General features: G+C 35.4%; 1 protein-coding gene across 3 annotated transcripts in view; it reads left to right on the top strand.

The window, feature by feature from the left end:
- The window catches only part of NDST4 (N-deacetylase and N-sulfotransferase 4), a 285858-nt gene that overhangs the window by 29383 nt on the left and 236872 nt on the right, over positions 1-19603 (top strand). The window contains exon 2 of one of the 3 annotated variants that reach the window (NM_022569.3): positions 6956-8179. The exons of 1 other annotated variant lie outside the window; for it this stretch is intronic. In NM_022569.3, the coding sequence (NP_072091.1) occupies positions 7202-8179 (978 nt within the window). In that variant the 5' untranslated portion in view covers positions 6956-7201. Of the gene's footprint in view, positions 1-6955; positions 8180-19603 lie in introns of those variants that run through there. One more of the 3 variants, XM_017008546.2, reaches the window with a different exon arrangement.

Below are 19603 nucleotides of genomic sequence, written 5' to 3'. Positions count from 1 at the left end.
TCTAGGGCAGGGCCCAGTCTCTTTGCTAAAGCATAGCAAGAATCCCCTTTATTCCAGTTCCCAACAAGTTCCTCATCAACATCTGAGATCACCTCAGCCTGGACTTCATTGTTCATATTGTTATCAGCATTTTGGTCAAAGCTATTCGACAAATCTCTAGGAAGTTCCAAACTTTATCTTACTTTCCTGTCTTCTTCTGAGCCTTCCAAACTGTTCCAACCTCTGCCTGTTACCCAGTTCCAATGTTGCTTCAACATTTTCAGGGTATTTACAGCAGTGCCTCACTCTCTGAGGTACTTGCTTAGTGTATTAGTCCATTCTCACGCTTCTATGAAGAAACACCTGATACTGGGTTATTTATAAAGAAAAGAGGTTTAATTGACTCGCAGTTCCTCATGGCTGGGGAGTCCTCAGGAACCTTACAATCATGGCAGAAGGTACCTCTTCACAGGGTGACGAGAGAGAATGAGTGCTGAACAAAGGGGGGAAGCTCCTTATAAAAGCATCAGATCTCATGAGAACTCACTATCACAAGAACAGCATGGAGATAACCACCACGATGATTCAATTACCTCCCAACAGGTCCCTCCTACAACACATGGGGATTATGGGAACTGTAATTCAAGATGAGATTTGGGTGAGGACACAGCCAAACCATTTTAGATGGTTACAAATTTTGGAATTCACTCCAAAGAAGCACTGGTGCAGTTAATGTATATGAACAAATAGTTAAATGTTTATATAATAATTTTTGTGTTTTCTGGTTTTTGTGTGTTTCCAGACAGGGTATCCCTCTGTCACCCAGGCTGGAGTGCAGTGGTGCAATCATAGCTCACTGCAACCTTGAACTCTTGGGCTCAAGGTAAACTCCCTGCCTCAGCCTCCCAAGTAGCTGGAACTACAGGTTCACACCACCGCACCTGCCTAATTTGTTTTCTTTTTTCTTTTGTGTTGAGACAAGATCTTGTTTTGTTGTCCAGGCTGGTCTCAAACTCCTGGACTCAAGCAATCCTTCAGCCTCAGACTCCCAAAGTGCTGGAATTACATGTGTGAGCCACAATGCCTGGCCTAGGTAACAGCTTTAATTAAAAATTCTGTTTCATTAATATAAAATATGAGCTAATTCTTTATGATTCTTAAAAGCCAACAAAAAAACGCATGAAGCATGTAAAAACAAGGTATATAATAAAATAGTTTTCTCACAGCCATCACGAAAAGTCAAGGTCAGTGAAATTATTGCAAATTCTTAAGTCATTCCAATTTACAACACAGCTCTTTCAAATCAATTTAATTCACCTCTACAATTTTTCTCCATTTTTGGTAGACATTTTTGGCTTTGAATAGCTGAACTTTTAAAATTAAAATAAAACTTGCTGATTTGCAGTTAAATTATTTAATTATGCTGACTGCTAAGTTTTTGGCTTCACTTAACTTAATCTTTGTTTCTTCTCTACAGTGCAACTGTAGAATCCTAGTATCATAAATCATTAGTAGTTTAATCTTAGTTCCGTTCTTAAACCTTCTAAATTTTAATTTTGTCATTTTAAAAATAGATCCATAAAGAGTAAACAGGATGATGAATACAAAGAATATAGCATAGTTACTAGCAAGCAGTAGCCATTTATTAAATGCTGGTAAACGTCGTTGCTCTTGTTCTCAATTTCAGCTGAATTTTCAGGAGCCTCTTTAGTGATCTGTACAGCTCATCAGATCACCTTCAACAAAGAAACAACCACACGTATATGCAATGTGATTTAGTATCTAGCTTTCTTCTGTATTTCAGCCTTTCCAAAAGTAGCAATAACTACAGTAGTACCTGTAATTGCTTTGTTTACTAACTCACTTCTCTGCTGCTACCAGAGATTACTAGAAATTTACCATGATTATGTGGCAAATGAACTTTGCAAACTGTATTTTAGAGAATCTCTAAACACATTTTGAAAATGTCAAAAGGCAATCTTATAACAGATATATAAAACAATAGTGTTAATATCATCATATAATATTTTCTAATCTTGAAAGAGAGTCAAAGATTCTAGGAGATATTTATTCCACTACCTAGGTGATAAGCCACATTTGGAAGGATAGAAGGTAAAAATAAGAAAACAAAAATGAGAACAGGAAAATCAACACCTACAAAAGCCTCCCTTTTTTTCTTATCAAAGCCTGTGCAGGGGTCATGAAGCCCACATTTTGTGACAGGTTGTCATGAAAATAATGAGTAGATCTCTCCTTCCAAATTTTTAACGAAAGATTTATTAGAACATGGAAAGTCAGATTAAGAAGAATTGGGACCAAAGCCTGTTTAACTTACTTGGTTTGATGGTTAATAAAATAGTTTTTCCACAGATGGAATTTACTCAGTAATCCACATATTTGTCTGTTATTTCTATAATGAAAGGTCAACATCACCATATAAGGGGAAAGTGGGGAAAGGAAAGCTCTCAAATGTTTCTGTTTCTTGCTGACTTGTCCCAGGGTCTTCCTGAAGAAGAAACTAATTAAGGTAAAATAAAAATTTTGGTGTATCACCTTAGACTACTTAAAAATAAATGCCACATATTTTATACCATTATAGCAGCATTTTAATGTCTTCGTTATTATCCTGAAGTAATTTTTTTAATTTTATGTGACTCATTTAACACGTGCCTTTTGAAAATTAATCTCAATTGTCTTATTCGACTTATGGTAACGACTTAAGATTCTTATGTTGGTTGCTCTCCCTATCCATACTCCTGCATGCCTTTTCCCCCACCTTTTCAAGGGTCACACAGTAGGTAAGAGATTCAAACTAATCACAGACTACACCTTTTTGGCATCCTAAACAATGTCATAATACCATTTCTTACTTCAGGTGTGAGACATAGGTAAACACTTATGGTATATCAAGTTGTATGGTCCAGGCTTCCTCATCTCCACCGGCCAGTTTTGCTAGGGAAGGAGAACTGGGAGAATTGAATGGGAAGGATAACTCCTTTAGTTAAAACACCTACATTGAAAACACATATGTCTTCCATGGTGGTAATATGTATCTATCATTCTTCTAACTCTGAACATATTACTGTTAAATAAATTTCACATTTAAATTTTATTTATTCTTTGGGTTGGCAGATTCTTGCCCCATATGGTTTTTTTTTTAATTTATTTTTCACTATTGCATTAGGAGGAGATAGTCTAAATATGCAAAACTGACATATTCTCCTTTGTGTATTCAAAAATAAAAATCACATTTTTAATGTGAGAAGAAGTAAAGATTAAACCAAGTATTAACTTGTCCTACATTTAATTTCTCTCCGAATCTCCTGGTTAAATTTATTCCTAAAATACTAAGCAATCCTCCAAAGCATGTAAGTAGGTATCTGCTCTTATTGGGTTATTTGGGGGAGTTGTGTGGATGGGGTGGGTCTGATTTTACATTTGTTTAAATAGATTTTTAAATTAAATATGTGAGCTTGGATAAATCTAAGAATTGATATAAGATTAATAATCTCCTTCGACAAGTTCCAAATATCTTTCACTTTCATTATTACACACACACACACACACTACACACTATATATATGTATATATGTATCTTTTAATGAGTTTTTATTTAAAAAATTTACATATGAAAATTTTCAAGCATACATAAAAGTAGAGGATATAATATAATTGCTTTATATATTTCAGACCAAACCAAAGCCTTTTTATTGCTGTATTCCATTTCTTTTTAGTAAAATGCAATCCAATTTGGTTAAAGGGAGCTGAGTTTTGAAACAAAGACTTTTGCAAAGCAGACAATTACATTAAAGAATTTCATTTGGCTGGGCGTAGTCACTCATGCCTGCAATCCCAGCATTTTGGGAGGCCGAGGTGGGTGGATCACCTGAGGTCAGGAGTTTGAGACCAGCCTGGCCAACATGGTGAAACCCAGTCTCTACTAAAAATACAAAAATTAGCTGGACTTGAAGGTGTGTGCCTGTAATCCCAGCTACTAGGGAGGCTGAGGCAGGAGAATCACTTGACCTTGGGAGGTGGAGGCTGCAGTGAGCCCAGATCAGGCCACTGCACTACAGCCTGGGTGACAGAGCAAGACTCCATCTCAAAATAAATAAATAAATGAAACAAATAAAATTTGTAAATAGAGTATTAGTAATTCCCCAACATGTGGGATTCATTTGTTTTTAAAGTCCATGTGAAGTCACTGGGGAGACTGCAAACTGGTACAATATGTTTCACAGTGAAAAGCTAAGGTCCACTTATATATTTGGAATCTGAAGTGTTAAAATATTTAAAATATTTGATGAAAATTTTTAATTTTTTGAAAAAGTTTAAAAGTTATTTTCTGACAAAAACAACCATTTCAACATCATGCAGATTTTTAAAACTTAAATTACTAATGAGGTTAAGTATTGTAGAACATAGAAATATAAAATGAAAAGTAGCGACATAATTTTGCAATGTTTAACTATGTAATCTAAAAAGTTTTCAGTCATCATTAATAAGCATTCATCACTCAGATCCCCCAATTAAAAAATAAAGAAATCCATAAAATATCCACAGTGTGATAGAACATACCACTCATTAAAAAGCATGCTAGTTTAATTCTCTCTGATGTAATATGTCTGATGTAATGCATATCTTAAATATATATATCACACATTGATAACATGAACTATTTTCACCCAAAATAGTTATCCTAGGGAAAGTTTGGCAAACTGGGAAATCGAAAATTATTTAAGTACTCTAACAGTGTAGAGACAGATGAAGTAAGCTTGTATAGAAAGTAATTCATTGAAGTCAGAATCATCTATACAAAGAAAAACATCTAATAATAATGGAAAATTATGTCCATTCGTGATGAAGCAGTTTGGGATTTTTTTTTTTTTTTTTTTCTGAGACAGAGTTTTGCTCTTGTTGCCCAGACTGGCCAGGCTGGCATGCAGTTGTGTGATCTCAGCTCACTGCAACCTCTGCCTCCCAGGTTCAAGCATTTATCCTGCCTCAGCCTCTTGAGTAGCTGGGACTACAGGCATGCACCACCACACCCAGCTAATTTTTGTACTTTTTTAGTAGAGACGGGGTTTCACCATGTTGGCCAGGATGGTATCGATCTCATGACCTTGTGATCTGCCCACCTTGTCCTCCCAAAGTGCTGGGATTACAGGCCTGAGCCACCGTGCCTGTAGTAATGTAGTGTATAATGGGAAATTTTTTTTTTAATGCTGTGTTAGTTCATTCTCAAATGACTATATAGCTGCAACTGGGTAATTTATGAAGAAGAGCTTTAATTGCCTCACAGTTCTGCTTCTCCTTTAAATATCAGTTCTGACTTTAGGTCATTTCTTTGCTTATGTATCCCAGTATAGGTTGTTAGAAGCATCCAGGTCACTTTTTTTGGGCGGGGGTTGGTGGGGGCGGAAGAGAGTTTTGCTCTATTGCCCAGGCTGGAGTGCAGTGGCACAATCTCAGCTCACTGCATCTTCCGCCTCCCGGGTTCAAGCAATTCTCTGTCTCAGCCTCCTGAGTAGTTGGGATTACAGGCACCCACCACCATGCCTGCTAATTTTTTTTGTATTTTTAGTAGAGACAGGGTTTCACTATCCCTACCAGGCTGATCTTGAACTCCTGACCTCGTGATCCACCCACCACTTCTTGAATGCTTTGCTGCTTAGAAATTTCTTCCACCAGATACCCTAAATCATCACATTTAAGTTCAAGTTCCACAGATCCACAGGGCAGGGGCACAATGTAGCATAGTTGTTCGCTAAGGCATAACAAAAAATGACCTTTTCTCCAGTCCCCAATAAGTTCCTCATTTCCATCTGAGACCTCCTTAGCTTGTATTTCACTGTCCATATCACTATCAGCATTTTGGTCACTACCATTTAAAACCAGTCTCTAGGAAGTTCCAAACATATCCTCATCTTCCTGTCTTCTAAACACACACTCTCTCTTTTGCTCCTGCTTCCACCATGTGAGATACCTGGCACCCCCTTGCCTTCTACCATGATTGGAAGCTTCCTTATATCTCCCCAGAAGCAGAAGCTGCTATGCTTCCTGTACAGCCTGCAGAACCGTGAGCCAATTAATCCTTTTTTTCTTTATAAATTTTCCAGTCTCAGGTGTTTTTTTAGAGCAATACAAGAACAAAATAATACAAATGCATTCTACATTCATTTTTTTTGAACTAAAGGAAGTGATAGAGAAATAGAACATCTGATTCTTGGATAAAAATTGACAATGAGTAAGAGTTTTAATTCTTATTACAAGAGTAGGCAAAATTAGGAAATATGCTTTGAGACTAACATGTCATTGTTCTTTTCACCTAAGCGTTCTGTCCTCTGTTTCATTAGCGAGATCTGAGAATGCCTGTTCCTGCAAGAAGAAGGAGCAGTCCTATGTATCTGGGCTGTAATGCTGAAGAGGGCCAAGTGGCTCCCTGTGAGTCCAGATAAAGGATATATTATTCAAGAGAAAAACTTGTAACTACTCTAAACTTAAGACAGATTTATTTAGTCAGCTGGGAATTCCAGAGACTCAGGCAGATACCTAAGAGCATGTTTAATTGCTCTAAGCCCCTGATTCCTGATTTCCTAATTTTATATGTATATAATGGTTATCAGTTCTGTAGAATAGTTTTATGGTAACTGACATACTTTGTTAAAGCTTACTTTCTTACTTCTTTTCTTTTTTGGTGGGATTAGTTAGAAAATGATCTCAATACATGTTTCTATATACATATGGATGTTTAGGCCAAAATAAAATTGGGTTCTGTGTTCTGGAGGTTATCAAAAAATCTACTATACTCTAGGTAGTTAAGTCTAGACTGTAAACATCAGGTTGTTAATATTTTAGCATATTAACACTAAAATTATCATTGCTATATATGTTTCTTGAGCATCAGCATTTATATAGAAATAAATATTTATATTTCTATTTTTATCTTAGTTATTACATCTCTCCTCTCTTTCAGATTATGCTTAGAGGATTCTGCAGCAATTCTCAGTATTGGACATATTCAAAATCTCCTCAACGTATATCCTTCCCATCTATTGCCTTCCAGCTTTAACTCAGTTGTGCTCCCTTCAAACATTTTACATGATTTGCGATGGTTACATGAACTCTGGGGAAGTGATATTTGCAACATCTCATACTTTATTCACTATGGCACTTTAGGAAACGAAATTGGGAAAAAGCTTCCAAAACATTATTCTAAAAAATGAATCTTATTGTGAAACTTCGGAGAAGTTTTCGAACATTGATTGTTCTCTTAGCTACCTTTTGCTTGGTGAGCATTGTCATTTCTGCCTATTTTCTCTACTCTGGCTACAAACAGGAAATGACACTTATTGAAACCACTGCAGAAGCAGAATGCACTGACATCAAAATTCTACCATATAGGTCAATGGAGCTGAAAACAGTTAAACCTATTGACACATCCAAAACGGACCCTACTGTCCTTCTCTTCGTGGAGAGCCAATACTCTCAACTCGGTCAAGATATCATAGCTATTTTGGAGTCCAGCCGATTTCAGTACCACATGGTTATTGCCCCTGGAAAGGGAGATATACCTCCTCTTACAGATAATGGCAAAGGGAAATATACTTTAGTTATTTATGAAAATATTCTGAAGTATGTCAGCATGGACTCATGGAATCGAGAGCTTTTAGAAAAATACTGTGTGGAATACAGTGTTAGTATAATCGGTTTTCATAAAGCCAATGAGAACAGCTTACCAAGTACACAATTAAAAGGCTTTCCGTTAAACCTTTTCAATAATCTAGCTCTAAAGGACTGTTTTGTTAACCCTCAATCTCCTTTGCTGCATATTACCAAAGCCCCCAAGGTTGAGAAAGGCCCTCTTCCTGGGGAAGACTGGACTATTTTCCAATATAATCATTCAACCTACCAGCCTGTACTTTTAACTGAGTTACAGACAGAAAAATCCCTGTCATCCTTGTCTAGCAAAACACTCTTTGCAACGGTGATTCAGGATCTGGGGCTTCATGATGGAATTCAGAGAGTACTTTTTGGCAACAACTTGAACTTTTGGCTGCACAAGCTCATCTTCATAGATGCCATCTCCTTCTTGTCAGGGAAGAGGCTGACATTGTCCTTGGACAGGTACATCCTTGTGGACATTGATGATATATTTGTTGGGAAAGAGGGAACAAGGATGAATGTCAAAGATGTGAAGGTAAGCTTATTTATAGACAACATCGAAATTTGTATTTCACAATATGGTACCGATAAAATATTACTAATATGATAGATTATTAATCCCTAAAGTTTTAAGGTGCAGTAGAGTTGAAATAAGATAGCCATTTAGAAAAATATTGAACCAAGACTTAACCATTCTTTACACACACATACACACACCAGAAGCTTCAGAATGGGACAGAGCTAAAATATTAAAATATCCCAAAGAGTTAGTGAACTTAATCTCTTTGCCTTTTTTTTTTTTTTTTTTTCTGAACAGACTCTTGCTCTGTCGCCCAGGCTGGAGTGCAGTGGCATGATCTTGGCTCACTGAAACCTCTACCTCCTGGGTTTAAGCAATTCTCTGCCTCAGCCTCCCGAGTAGCTGGGATTACAGGTGCCTGCCACCACGTCTGGCTAATTTTTGTATTTTAAGTAGAGATGGGGTTTCACCATCTTGGCCAGGCTGGTCTTAAACTCCTGACCTCGTGATCCACCCGCCTTGACCTTCCAAAGTGCTGGGATTACAGGCGTGAGCCACTGCACCCGGCCTCCTTGCCTCTTCTTAAGTCTTTCCCATCCCAGCTAGAACCATTTAGAACAACCTCCCTTATTATAGTACATGCTGCAGTTTGTAACAGTGAAACCAAGATAGTCATATAACTCTATTTCTGGATTATTACCCTGCCAAATCCTGCCAAACTCGGGTTTGAAAATTGTGGTGTAAATAGAAAATGGAGAAACAGCACAAGACCTTTCTATAATCTCAAACAAGCATAATATTTGCTCATATGAAATGTTCAGATATCTGAAAATATAGATATTAGCAAAAACAAATCATTTTATAGGGAATGTGGTATTGGATTAGCCTCAGGTAGCTTTCATTATTATACCTATTATTTATTCATTGCATTATTTGGGAAAACACAGCAGTGTTACTGGTAGCACTTCTAGGTTTTGATCAATTGACTGAATAACAGATTCAGCCTGTGATTGCTACTAAATAAAAATAAAGCCAATATGTTACACTAGATTAGGTGCACAATTCTAAAGATAATCATCTTTTAAACAATCTTGATGCAGTACTCTCACCTGATCTTTTACTTGTGACTGTCTCATCCTATGTATAACTAAATTTATTTTGTGTGCAAATAATTTTAGCAAACACATAAAAAATTAGAGGACACAACTAAGAATAATAAAGGAATCAAAGAGTGTTAAGATGTTATCGACGTTTTTGGATCTTCTGTTAAAGTGTTTATCTTCCAAAGATAAAATTTGGATACTTCTTCAAAATAACAGGGTATTTTTTTCATCCTAAGACCTGATGGCCACTGTAAAGCAAAATGATTGAAAGCAGTAGAATAAGTTCACTTTTTAAAAACCTTCAAAGTATATGTGAACCAATGAACTCTGTTTTTAATAAGTTCCTATGAAGCACTGCTTGACTGTGACCCAAATATTTCATTTTGTGACTGTTAAGAAGAGATAAAGTGACCGCAATTGAGTTCTATCCAGATTTTTCTCATTTTTTCTTTTACTTTTTTAGTATGTATTATTTCCTTTAATTAGTATAAATGACAGTTTTCTTTTTATTTTTGAAATCATAGGCTTAACAAGAGGACAGTTACTTCAAAAGGTTCTTTGAGTGGTTGGTTCCTATCTTCACATGCTAAAAATATAGCATTTCCTAGTTTCAGGCTAAAGATCAATATGAGTTAAAAAGTTCTTTATATGTCTAAATGAACTTAACCAGCTCAAATTCAACTATTTCACTTTTTCTCAATAGAAAAACAAATTGTCACTCACTGCTACTCAAAATAATATTCAAAAGTCACTGATGGCTATCTTAAGTGACATAACTCCAAATAGAATACAATAATTTAACAAAGGCTTGAGCAATGTCACACATGGAGAGAGAATCAGAAAGGCTATGTGTGTGTGTATGTATTTATTAGTATGTGTTCATATGGATAGAATTATATCCTATATATTGAGTAATATATAATATTTATTTATGTACACATATTAATTGAACTGTGCTTTTGAAGAAAATACTCTTTACTGCCTCTTTTGTTGTTATTTCTGGTTCTCCCTCAGAATTATTTTTATTTTTAATTTTTAATTGACAAAAACAGTATATAGTTTTCATGTACAACATAATGTTTTGAAATATGTGTAAATAATGAAATGTTTAGATACAGAAAAATGACATAGGAATTAATTATCCCAGATACTTATCATTTTTTGGTGAAAACACTTAAAATCTACTCTTTTAGTAATTTTCAAGAATATGATATATTGTTACTATTAGAATCTACTATAGGTTTCTTCAACTTCTTCTTCCAATCAAAATGAAATTTTGTGTACTTTAACCGAATCTCTCCAACCTCTTCACTCTCAACCTCTGGGAACTACCATTTTACTCTCTGCTTCTTTGAGTTTAAATTTTTTAGACTCCATAAAAAGTGAGATTATGTATTTATCTTGCTGTGCCTTGCTTATTTCACTTAACATAATGTCCTCTAGTTCATCCATGTTGTCACAAATTACAGAATTTTCTTCTTTGTAATGTCTGAATGATATTTCATTGTGTATATGTACCCCATTTTCTTTATCCGTTTATCCACTGATAAGATGCTTAGGCTGATTCTATATCTTGGCTATTGTAAATAATGCTTAAATGAACAAGGAAGTGCAGATATTGATTTGGTAAGTTGAATTCATTTCCTTTGATATATACCCAATAGTAGGATTGCTAGATCATATGGTAGTTCCATTTTTAATTTTTTGAAGAATCTCCATATTGTTTTCCATAGTGGCTATACTGTTTACATTTCCACCCATGTACATGAGGGTTCCCCCTTCTCCACATCCCTGCCAACACTTATTATCTTTTGTCCTTTTGATAACAGCCATTCTAATAGGTATGATGTGATATCTCATTATGGTTTTGACACGCATTTCCCTGATAGTTAGCGATGTTATTTTTATAAACCTATTGGTCATTTATGTTTTCTTTTGAGAAATGTTTATTCAGGCCTTTTGCTCATTTTTAAGATGAGTTATTTGTTTTCTTACTATGAGATACTTGAGTTTGATATATACTTTAGTATTACCTCTTACCAGATGTATAGTTTGCCAATTTTTCTCCCATTTCATATGTTGTCTCTTCACTCTGTTGCTTCCATTGCTGTATAAAAGTTTTTTGCTTGATGTAATTCCATTTGGTTTTTTTACTTTTGTTGCTTGTGTTTTTGGGTCATATCTAAAAATCTTGCCCAGACCAACATCATAGAAGTTCCCTCTATGTTTTCTTTTAGTCATTTTATGGGCTTAGATCCTACAATTAAGTCTTTCATCTATTTTAAGTTGTTTTTTTATATAGTGTGAGATGAGGCTCTAATTTCATGCTTCTGCCTATAGATATCTAGTTTTCCTAACACTATTTATTGAAGAGACTGCCCTTTCCCCATTGTCCGTTCTTAGAAACTTCGCTGAAAATCTATTGCCTGTAAATGCAAGAATTTATTTCTGTGTTCACTATTTTATTCCATTGGTCTGTGTGTCTGTTTTTATGCTAGTATCATGCTGTTGTGATTACTATAGCTTTGTAATATATCTTGCTTTGTTTTGTTTTCCTCAAGATTGCTTTGGTTATTTGGGATCTTTTGTAGTTTCATATACATTTTAATATCTTTTAAAAATTTTTTTCTATTTTTGTGAAAAATGTCCTTGGAATTTTGTTAGGAATTGTATTGAATCTGCAGATCATTTTGGATATCATAGACATTCAACAATATTAATTTTTCTACTTCATCAGTGGGGATAAGCTTTCCATTTATTGGTGCCTTCTTCAAGTCCTTCAAGATTATTTTGTATGCTTTTCTCTTGCTGCTTTCAAGATCCTGTGTCTTTGATTGTTGACTCTTTGACTATAACATGTCTTAGTGTAGTCTTGTTTGGCCTTCCTCTGCCTGAATATTTGTATTTTTCCTTAGATTTGAGCAGTTTTATTCCATTATTTTATTAAATAAGCTTTATGGCTTTTTATCTCTGTGTTTTTCTTGAACTTCTATAATTTGAATATTTCCCTCAGACCTATTAATGAATAAATATGAGAAATTTGAATGGAATTGAGAATTGAGAACTATTTATCTACTATGTTACTTATATGTCCATAGAAAAAATATTCTAGTCACAGTTTTTGCTTTTTGACTTTATTTTTTGGACAAATATAATTTTGTGGGAAATAATTTCAATTATGTGCCAAAAAGTTTTGACAGTCTCATATTCTTCATTCTCATTTTTTTTTTCTGGTAGTACAACATTAACACACTAGTGCACAAGGAGAATTTCATCCTCCTTCAAACTCTACCCCAATTCTAGAACAATGGTGTTGCATAGCTACCGACAATTTTCTATATTACTCTGAAATAGTATAAAAGAGGTGTTCAATAGGTATTTTAATAGGTATTTCATATATATTTCAATTCATATGAAATACCTATTTGAATTTGAAATTCAAATGTCATCCCTATTTCAAGGTATGAAAGAGGTATTCTGTTCCTCAATAAAACAAATTAAGGAAAGCAAGAGTGTTAGGGATAAAAAATCTTGGTTATGTTTGTAACTGGACTCTTCCTTGGCCACTTCCACAATTAGACTGGAATAGCAAGAGCATTAACAACAAATTCAGACATAGCCTTATCCTCAGTACCACCTCCCTCTATCAATGTGTGTGTGTGTGTGTGTGTGTGTGTGTGTGTGTGTGTGTGTGAAGGCATACTTTCATTTGAACCAAATTTTCTATTTTGAGGTAGAGATTCTGAATCATACTGTTAAAGAGTAAATACTTTTAAGGCAAAGAATATTAATGTATTGAAAAGAATACGAGTTTATTTTTATTTTTTATTTTTTTATTTTATTTTCATTATTAGTATTTTTTGAAATGGAGTCTTGCTCTATTTATTGCCCAGGCTGGAGTATAGTGGCACAAACTCAGCTCATTACAACCTCCACCTCCTGGGTTCAAGCAATTCTCCTGCCTCAGCCTCCCGAGTAGCTGGGACTACAGGTGCACACCACCACGCCTGGCTAATTTTTGTATTTTTAGTAGAGACAAGGTTTCACCATGTTGGCCACGCTGGCATCAAACTTCTGACTTCAAGTGATTCACCCACCTCGGTCTCCCAAGTTGCTGGGATTACAGGCATGAGCCACCGTGCCCGGCCAGAATACGAGTTTTTTGACTGAAGTTAAATGCTCATTATTTCTAATACTTAGATATAATTGGCCTAAGCTATCTACAATATATCTTTTTTTTGGAGAATTATTCATGCCTTATCTCATTTTATCATTCTCTTCTCCAACCAATGCTACTGAGATAAAAATCAATGTCCTTTTGTAAGGCAATCAAAATTAAATTCAGTTTCAATAACTTTCATTTGTTTATTAATAAAATTTAACTGTATACCTAAAAACTCAAGATATATAAGAAAGATTATTCATGTATATAAGCTCCTAGAAACTAATTATGTTTTTAAAGATGGTGAAATATTATCTATCAATTAGGTCAGAGATATGGTCATGTTTTGACCTGTTAATATTCCTGTGGCCCTTAATGCCATCACCCTCCTCCCACCCTCCACCCTCCAGTATCTGTCATTCCCTTCTATGTGTCCATGTGTTCTCATCTTTTAGCTCCCACTTATAAGTGAGAACATTTGTTTTTTGCTTTTCTGTTTCCATATTAGTTTGCTAAGGATAATGGCCTCCAGCTACATCCATGTTCCTGCAGAGGATATGATCTCATTCTTGTTATAGTATTCCATGGTGTATATGTACTATATTTTCTATATCCATCCTACCATTAATAGACATTTAGATCAATTGCATATCTTTGCTATTTTGAAGAGTGCTGCAATGATTGTATGCATGTATGTGTCTTTGTAATAAAATGATGTATATTCCTTTGGGTATATATACAGTTATGGGATTGCTGGGTCGAATGGTAGTTCTGTTTTTAGGTGTTTGAGGGATTGCCACACTGTCTTCCCCAGTGGTTGGACTAATTTACATTCCAACCAATAGTATATAAGCATTCCTTTTTCTCCACAACCTCTTCTGCAACTGTTATTTTTTAACTTTTATTTTTATTTATTTACTTATTTAGAGAAAGAGTCTCATTCTGTCACCCAGGTGGGGGTGCAGTGGCAAGATCTCAACTCACTGCAACCTCCACCTCCCAGGTTCAAGCAATTCTCTTGCCACAGCTTCCTGAGTAGCTGGGAATACAGACGTGTGCCACCACACCCAGCTTTAGTAGAGATGGGGTTTCACCATGTTGGCTGGGCTGGTCTTGAACTCCTGACTTCAAGTGATCTGCCCTCCTCAGCCTCCCAAAGTACTGGGATTACAGGCATGAAGCCATCCTGACTAGTGTGAGATGATATCTCATTGTGGTTTTGATTTGCATTTCTCTAATGATCAGTGATGTTCAGTTTTTTCCATATGCTTGTTGGCCGCATGTATGTATACTTTTGAAAAGTGTCTGTTCATGTCATCTGCCCATTTTTTAATGGGTTGTTTGTTTTTTTCTTGTAAATTTGCTTAAGTTCCTTATAGATACTGGATATTAGACCTTTGTCAGATAAATAGTTTGCAAAAGTTTCTTCCCATTCTGTAGGTTGTCTGTTTACTCTGATAAAACCAAATTTCTTATTTCAATGTTCTTTGTGAGCCAGCTCAAGTTTGCATTTCAATATCTATCCTTCCCAATTCTCAATATGCACTGTTTTTTGTTAGACTTGCCCACTATATAGTTTTCAACTATGACTATCTCATGTCTACCATGACCTATTTTTCTTAGCTTCTATGCCTTTACTAAAATACTTTTCCTGAATCTACCCACATTTTAAGTTCTACTTTTTATAAGAATATGACACATCCCCTAATGACTCCAGCAGATGGTTATTTCTTTTTAACTTGAGTCCCTGCATAATCACTGACCTTAATTCTCAGTTAGCATCTTTATGTATATAAGTCAACTCCAAAATTAAGAGGTGACAGTTTTTCTCATACATCTAGTTTTGCCTCAAGGAATGTATTACACAACCTTACAAATGATTAAAAAATATTTAATTGACAATTATTATATTGTCTTTTAACTGGTGAGGGCAGAATCAATTAGTAACATAACTGATTTACTTTCTTTTTCTTTTCTTTTTTTTTTTTTTTTTGAGATGGAGCCTCGCTCTGATGCCCAAGCTGGAGTGCAGTGGTGCAATCTGGGCTCACTGCAAGCTCCACCTCCGGGTTCGTGCTATTCTTCTGCCTCAGCCTCCTGAGTAGCTGGGAATGCAGGCACTCACCACCACACCCGGCTAATTTTTTTGTATTTTTTTTTTTTTTTTGGAGATGGGGTTTCACCGTGTTAGCCAGGATGGTCTCGATCTCCTGATCTCATGATCTGCCCTCCTCAGCCTCCCAAAGTGCTGGGTTTACAGGCATGAGCCACCGCACCCAGCCAGAACTGATTTACTTTGTAAAGAAAGAATAATTTGAGGATAGTTTTGAACTTCATCTTGAAGCAAGTGATTTGTGTATTTTGCATATAAGACAAAAGTAGAAAACAAAATCTGTATTATAAACTTGGAGTCCAAAGCTAGCAGGCTATTTGGTTTGATTTTCCTTCCTACGTAGTGTTTTCAATGGATATGAACCTAGGCTGGTATTAAGGCTTGATCTAGATACAAGTAATTTACTGATGTCTTAACATGAACGTTTTCATGCCTTTATTTTACTATGTATTTTATGAGTTGAAAACCATAGGCTCAAAACTATAAAGTGAAAAAGTAATATATTGTACAAATTTGATGATGAAAACAAAGATGATAAGTTAACAGATATTTAAAAAAAACAGTTAATAGAGGGTCTTGAAAACACAGGGAAATAAGTTTCAGTTAGTTCCAACAGCCATTTGAAATCTTCTCTTTGTAGGGACATGGATGAAGCTGGAAACCATCATTCTCAGCAAACTATCACAAGGACAAAAAACCAAACACCGTGTGTTCTCACTCATAGGTGGGAATTGAGCAATGAGAACACTTGGACACAGGAAGGGGAACATCACACACTGGGGCCTGTCGTGGGGTGGGGGGAGGGAGGAGGGATAGCATTAGGAGATATACCTAATATAAATGATGAGTTAATGGGTGCAGCACACCAACATGGCACATGTATACATATGTGACAAACCTGCACGTTGTGCACATGTACCCTAGAACTTAAAGTATAATAATAAAAAAAGAAAAACAAAAAAAAAAGAAAATGATAAGGTTACTATATTTAAGAAGGACTCTTCCATTAGTAATGTAAATATCTGAAAAAAATTCCAGTCAAAATATGTTTAAGAATTATCATATCATTAAACAGGAGACAGGTTGTTATGAACAGAAAAGAAGAAACCTATTATAAAATAAAATCTTAAAATTTGATTCCTAATTTGAATAAGGGTTGAATGAGAAAGAAAAAAAAAACCTCAATATTACTAAGTTTGTGTCTTTAGAAAATAAGACATTATTTATCCTATGAACGTTAGTACAGAAGATGAGAGGCTACACTGGTAAATGAAACTATTACTTTTCTATATTTTATGATAATAAATAAGTTTGTTGTATTTGGTAAACTAGTAGAAAAATCTGTTTTTAGAATATTTCATACCTCAGACTCAATGAGGTATGAATCATTTTCAGAGTTAGAGATAAACACAAAGTCTGGTTTGTGGTAAATGGAATCCAGATTTGATGCATATCAGCTAGTATAGATTTAGTAATGCAAAGGAGTCCAGGCAGCAAGAATTGGGTGGATGGCCCAGCCAGTCAAGCAAGCAGTATGTGAAAGTTGCTGGCAGTTTCTAGGTGGGTGACCCAGCATGCAATTGGCAAGTGTAGCATAAGACCTGGGCAATGGCCCGGGCTTGCGGGAATGAGCATTTATCCAAGATATTCGACAGTGGAGAGAGGGTACCAAATCTCTGGATTCAGTTCTATGGGTAGCAGTCATCTTGAGAAAAATGGCATAGACAGCAGTGGCTTACTCCTGGAGGAAATGTGGGATTGGATAATTACATCACAATGTGGAGTTTGACATAGGGCACACAACAGAGAATGTGGTAGTTAGGAGCTCAGTCACAGCAAGCCTGTGCAGGAGAGAGGAGCCATCAGCAATACTTCCCTGAAATGATGGTCTTGATACCCTGTTATAGAACTCCCTAGATCTCCCTTGTCAGGGAGGGATTACATTTAGAACATCATGAAATCTTTAGGTGCCCAGCTGTGAGAATTCAATGTACTATTTGAAAGTCCTCAGTTGATCAAGGAGAAAAACAGGCAGTATCAAAGGCTTATAATAAGAATGGTTTATATTCCATGTAAACAAAGAGTATCACTGTGTCAATTAAATTGTTTTAGTAAGTAGAATTTTGCTTGTTTGAAAAGAGAAGCTCTATTTTCATGTATTTTGGCAGTCAGCAGTGACCTCAGAGAACCTCAAACTTACTTGCAAGAGGACAGTTACTGTACAGGATACAGTTAATCATAATTTTTCTTTTATTGAAAATATCATTGTAAGTAATCTAGGTTTTCATTTCTTCTGAATTATTTCAAGTAGCACCACACATTTAACTTTATCAATGGAAGGAAAAGTCATCTGTTTTAAAGAGATTCCTTTATGGAAGCAAATAGGGTTATTCTCCACTTAAAAAATTGCCAAAATTGTATAAAAGTACATTTTAAAATAAGAATTAAAAAGTTGAGAAAATACATACCAGTAATACCTTTTCCTTTGTGAATCTGTCTTTATTATAGAGTTCATACAAATATGTAAAGTATTCAGTTCCTGATTTCAGTAGTAGAGACAGGACATATTCACAGTTATCTGCATTACAAGGCAGAATGCAATATATATCATGCCAACATGATTGTACACAATGGGGACCAAGACAGGGTGACAGTAATTATTCCTCTAGGAACCAGGAGTGTTTAATGGAGGATGCGGTATTTGAGTCTTCTGCGATCACTGGACAGAACTGTAGCAAAGCTAGCTGGGCAGTGTATTCTAGGGCAGTGGATCAGCCTAAGCTCAGACTTGGCTGAAAATATCAGGACATTTTTGAGAATGGTAAGTTGCCTGTGTTAATTGAATTACAAGGTAAATGAGAAATAGTGGGACTAAATGTGGGTGCTGTTTGTGGCCAGAATATAAATCCCCTATTCTGTTATAGAACGTTTGCCTTTATTCTGTTGAAAATAGGATACCACTGGAGTCACTCAGGATTTTTAAGCCAGAAAGTGGCATAATCAGAGTTGGAATTGAAGGAAAATATATTGTTTGAACCAGGGAGTTGTTTTGAGGAGACCAACTAAATAATGTTACAATAATACAATCATACTAATGATTGTATCTTAAAATAAGGTATTCATTGAGCATATTAATATATGCTAAAATGTGCTAATCATTTACAAGCCCAAACAATATTAACTATATCCACTTTGAATGAATAAAATGAGGCTTAGCGATACTAAGATAGTTGTCTAATATATGGCTAATAAGTGACAGAACAAGGAACAAACCCAGAACTATCTATCTTGAATGTTTAAACTCTCTTTTAAACGACAAGGGCTTGGCTTGAGTTTGAATCTTAACTTCTGCACCTACTAGTTTACCTTAACCTAATCTCTTCAACCCTCATACCATATATCTGTAACACCAATGTAAAGAAACCCAATTCAGAATATTTTGGTGAGCATTAAAGAGATAAGGAGTGGAAAGTAGCTAAGACAGAGTTTGGCCGGTAAGATAGACTCAGCCCATCTTGGTGGTAAACAGGATAGAAAGGGAAAATCAGGAAAGTCCTCGCAGAAGTAGAATTGACAGAATTTGAATATGTACTCAATGGAGGAGCAAAAAGAAAGCTGGAAATACAATGTCATCACTATTGTTTTCAGCCTGGATGTGTTCATTAAAATGTATAGAATCAGACAGAGGTAAAGATGCTGGAAGGATGAGGAGTTTGATTTATGGTCTCATAATTTTAATGGGTTAAGGTCTAATGATTTAACATGGGCATCCATATTTGTCTTCTGAAACAATAAATGTAGATTTTCTGGCCCCATTGGGTTGGCAGTGTACATTTAGAAATCATCATGCTTAACACTTGCAATTTTAATGGTAATCACTAAATAGAAATATATCAAAGAAGAAGAAAAACAGATTGAATAAAGTATTTGCAATATTCGGTGATAAACCAATAACAAGTTAGTTTCACATAGAGGAAAAATGTCTCATGCACTGAGATAGTAGCCTCTTGTATGCCTTTCATTGGTTATAAGGAAGAAAGCATGAAAGCTCAGTAGGTACA

This window comes from Homo sapiens, chromosome 4 (assembly GCF_000001405.40).
Source record: "Homo sapiens chromosome 4, GRCh38.p14 Primary Assembly".
NCBI lineage: Eukaryota > Metazoa > Chordata > Mammalia > Primates > Hominidae > Homo > Homo sapiens.
This window is presented reverse-complemented; position numbering and strand designations above follow the sequence as displayed.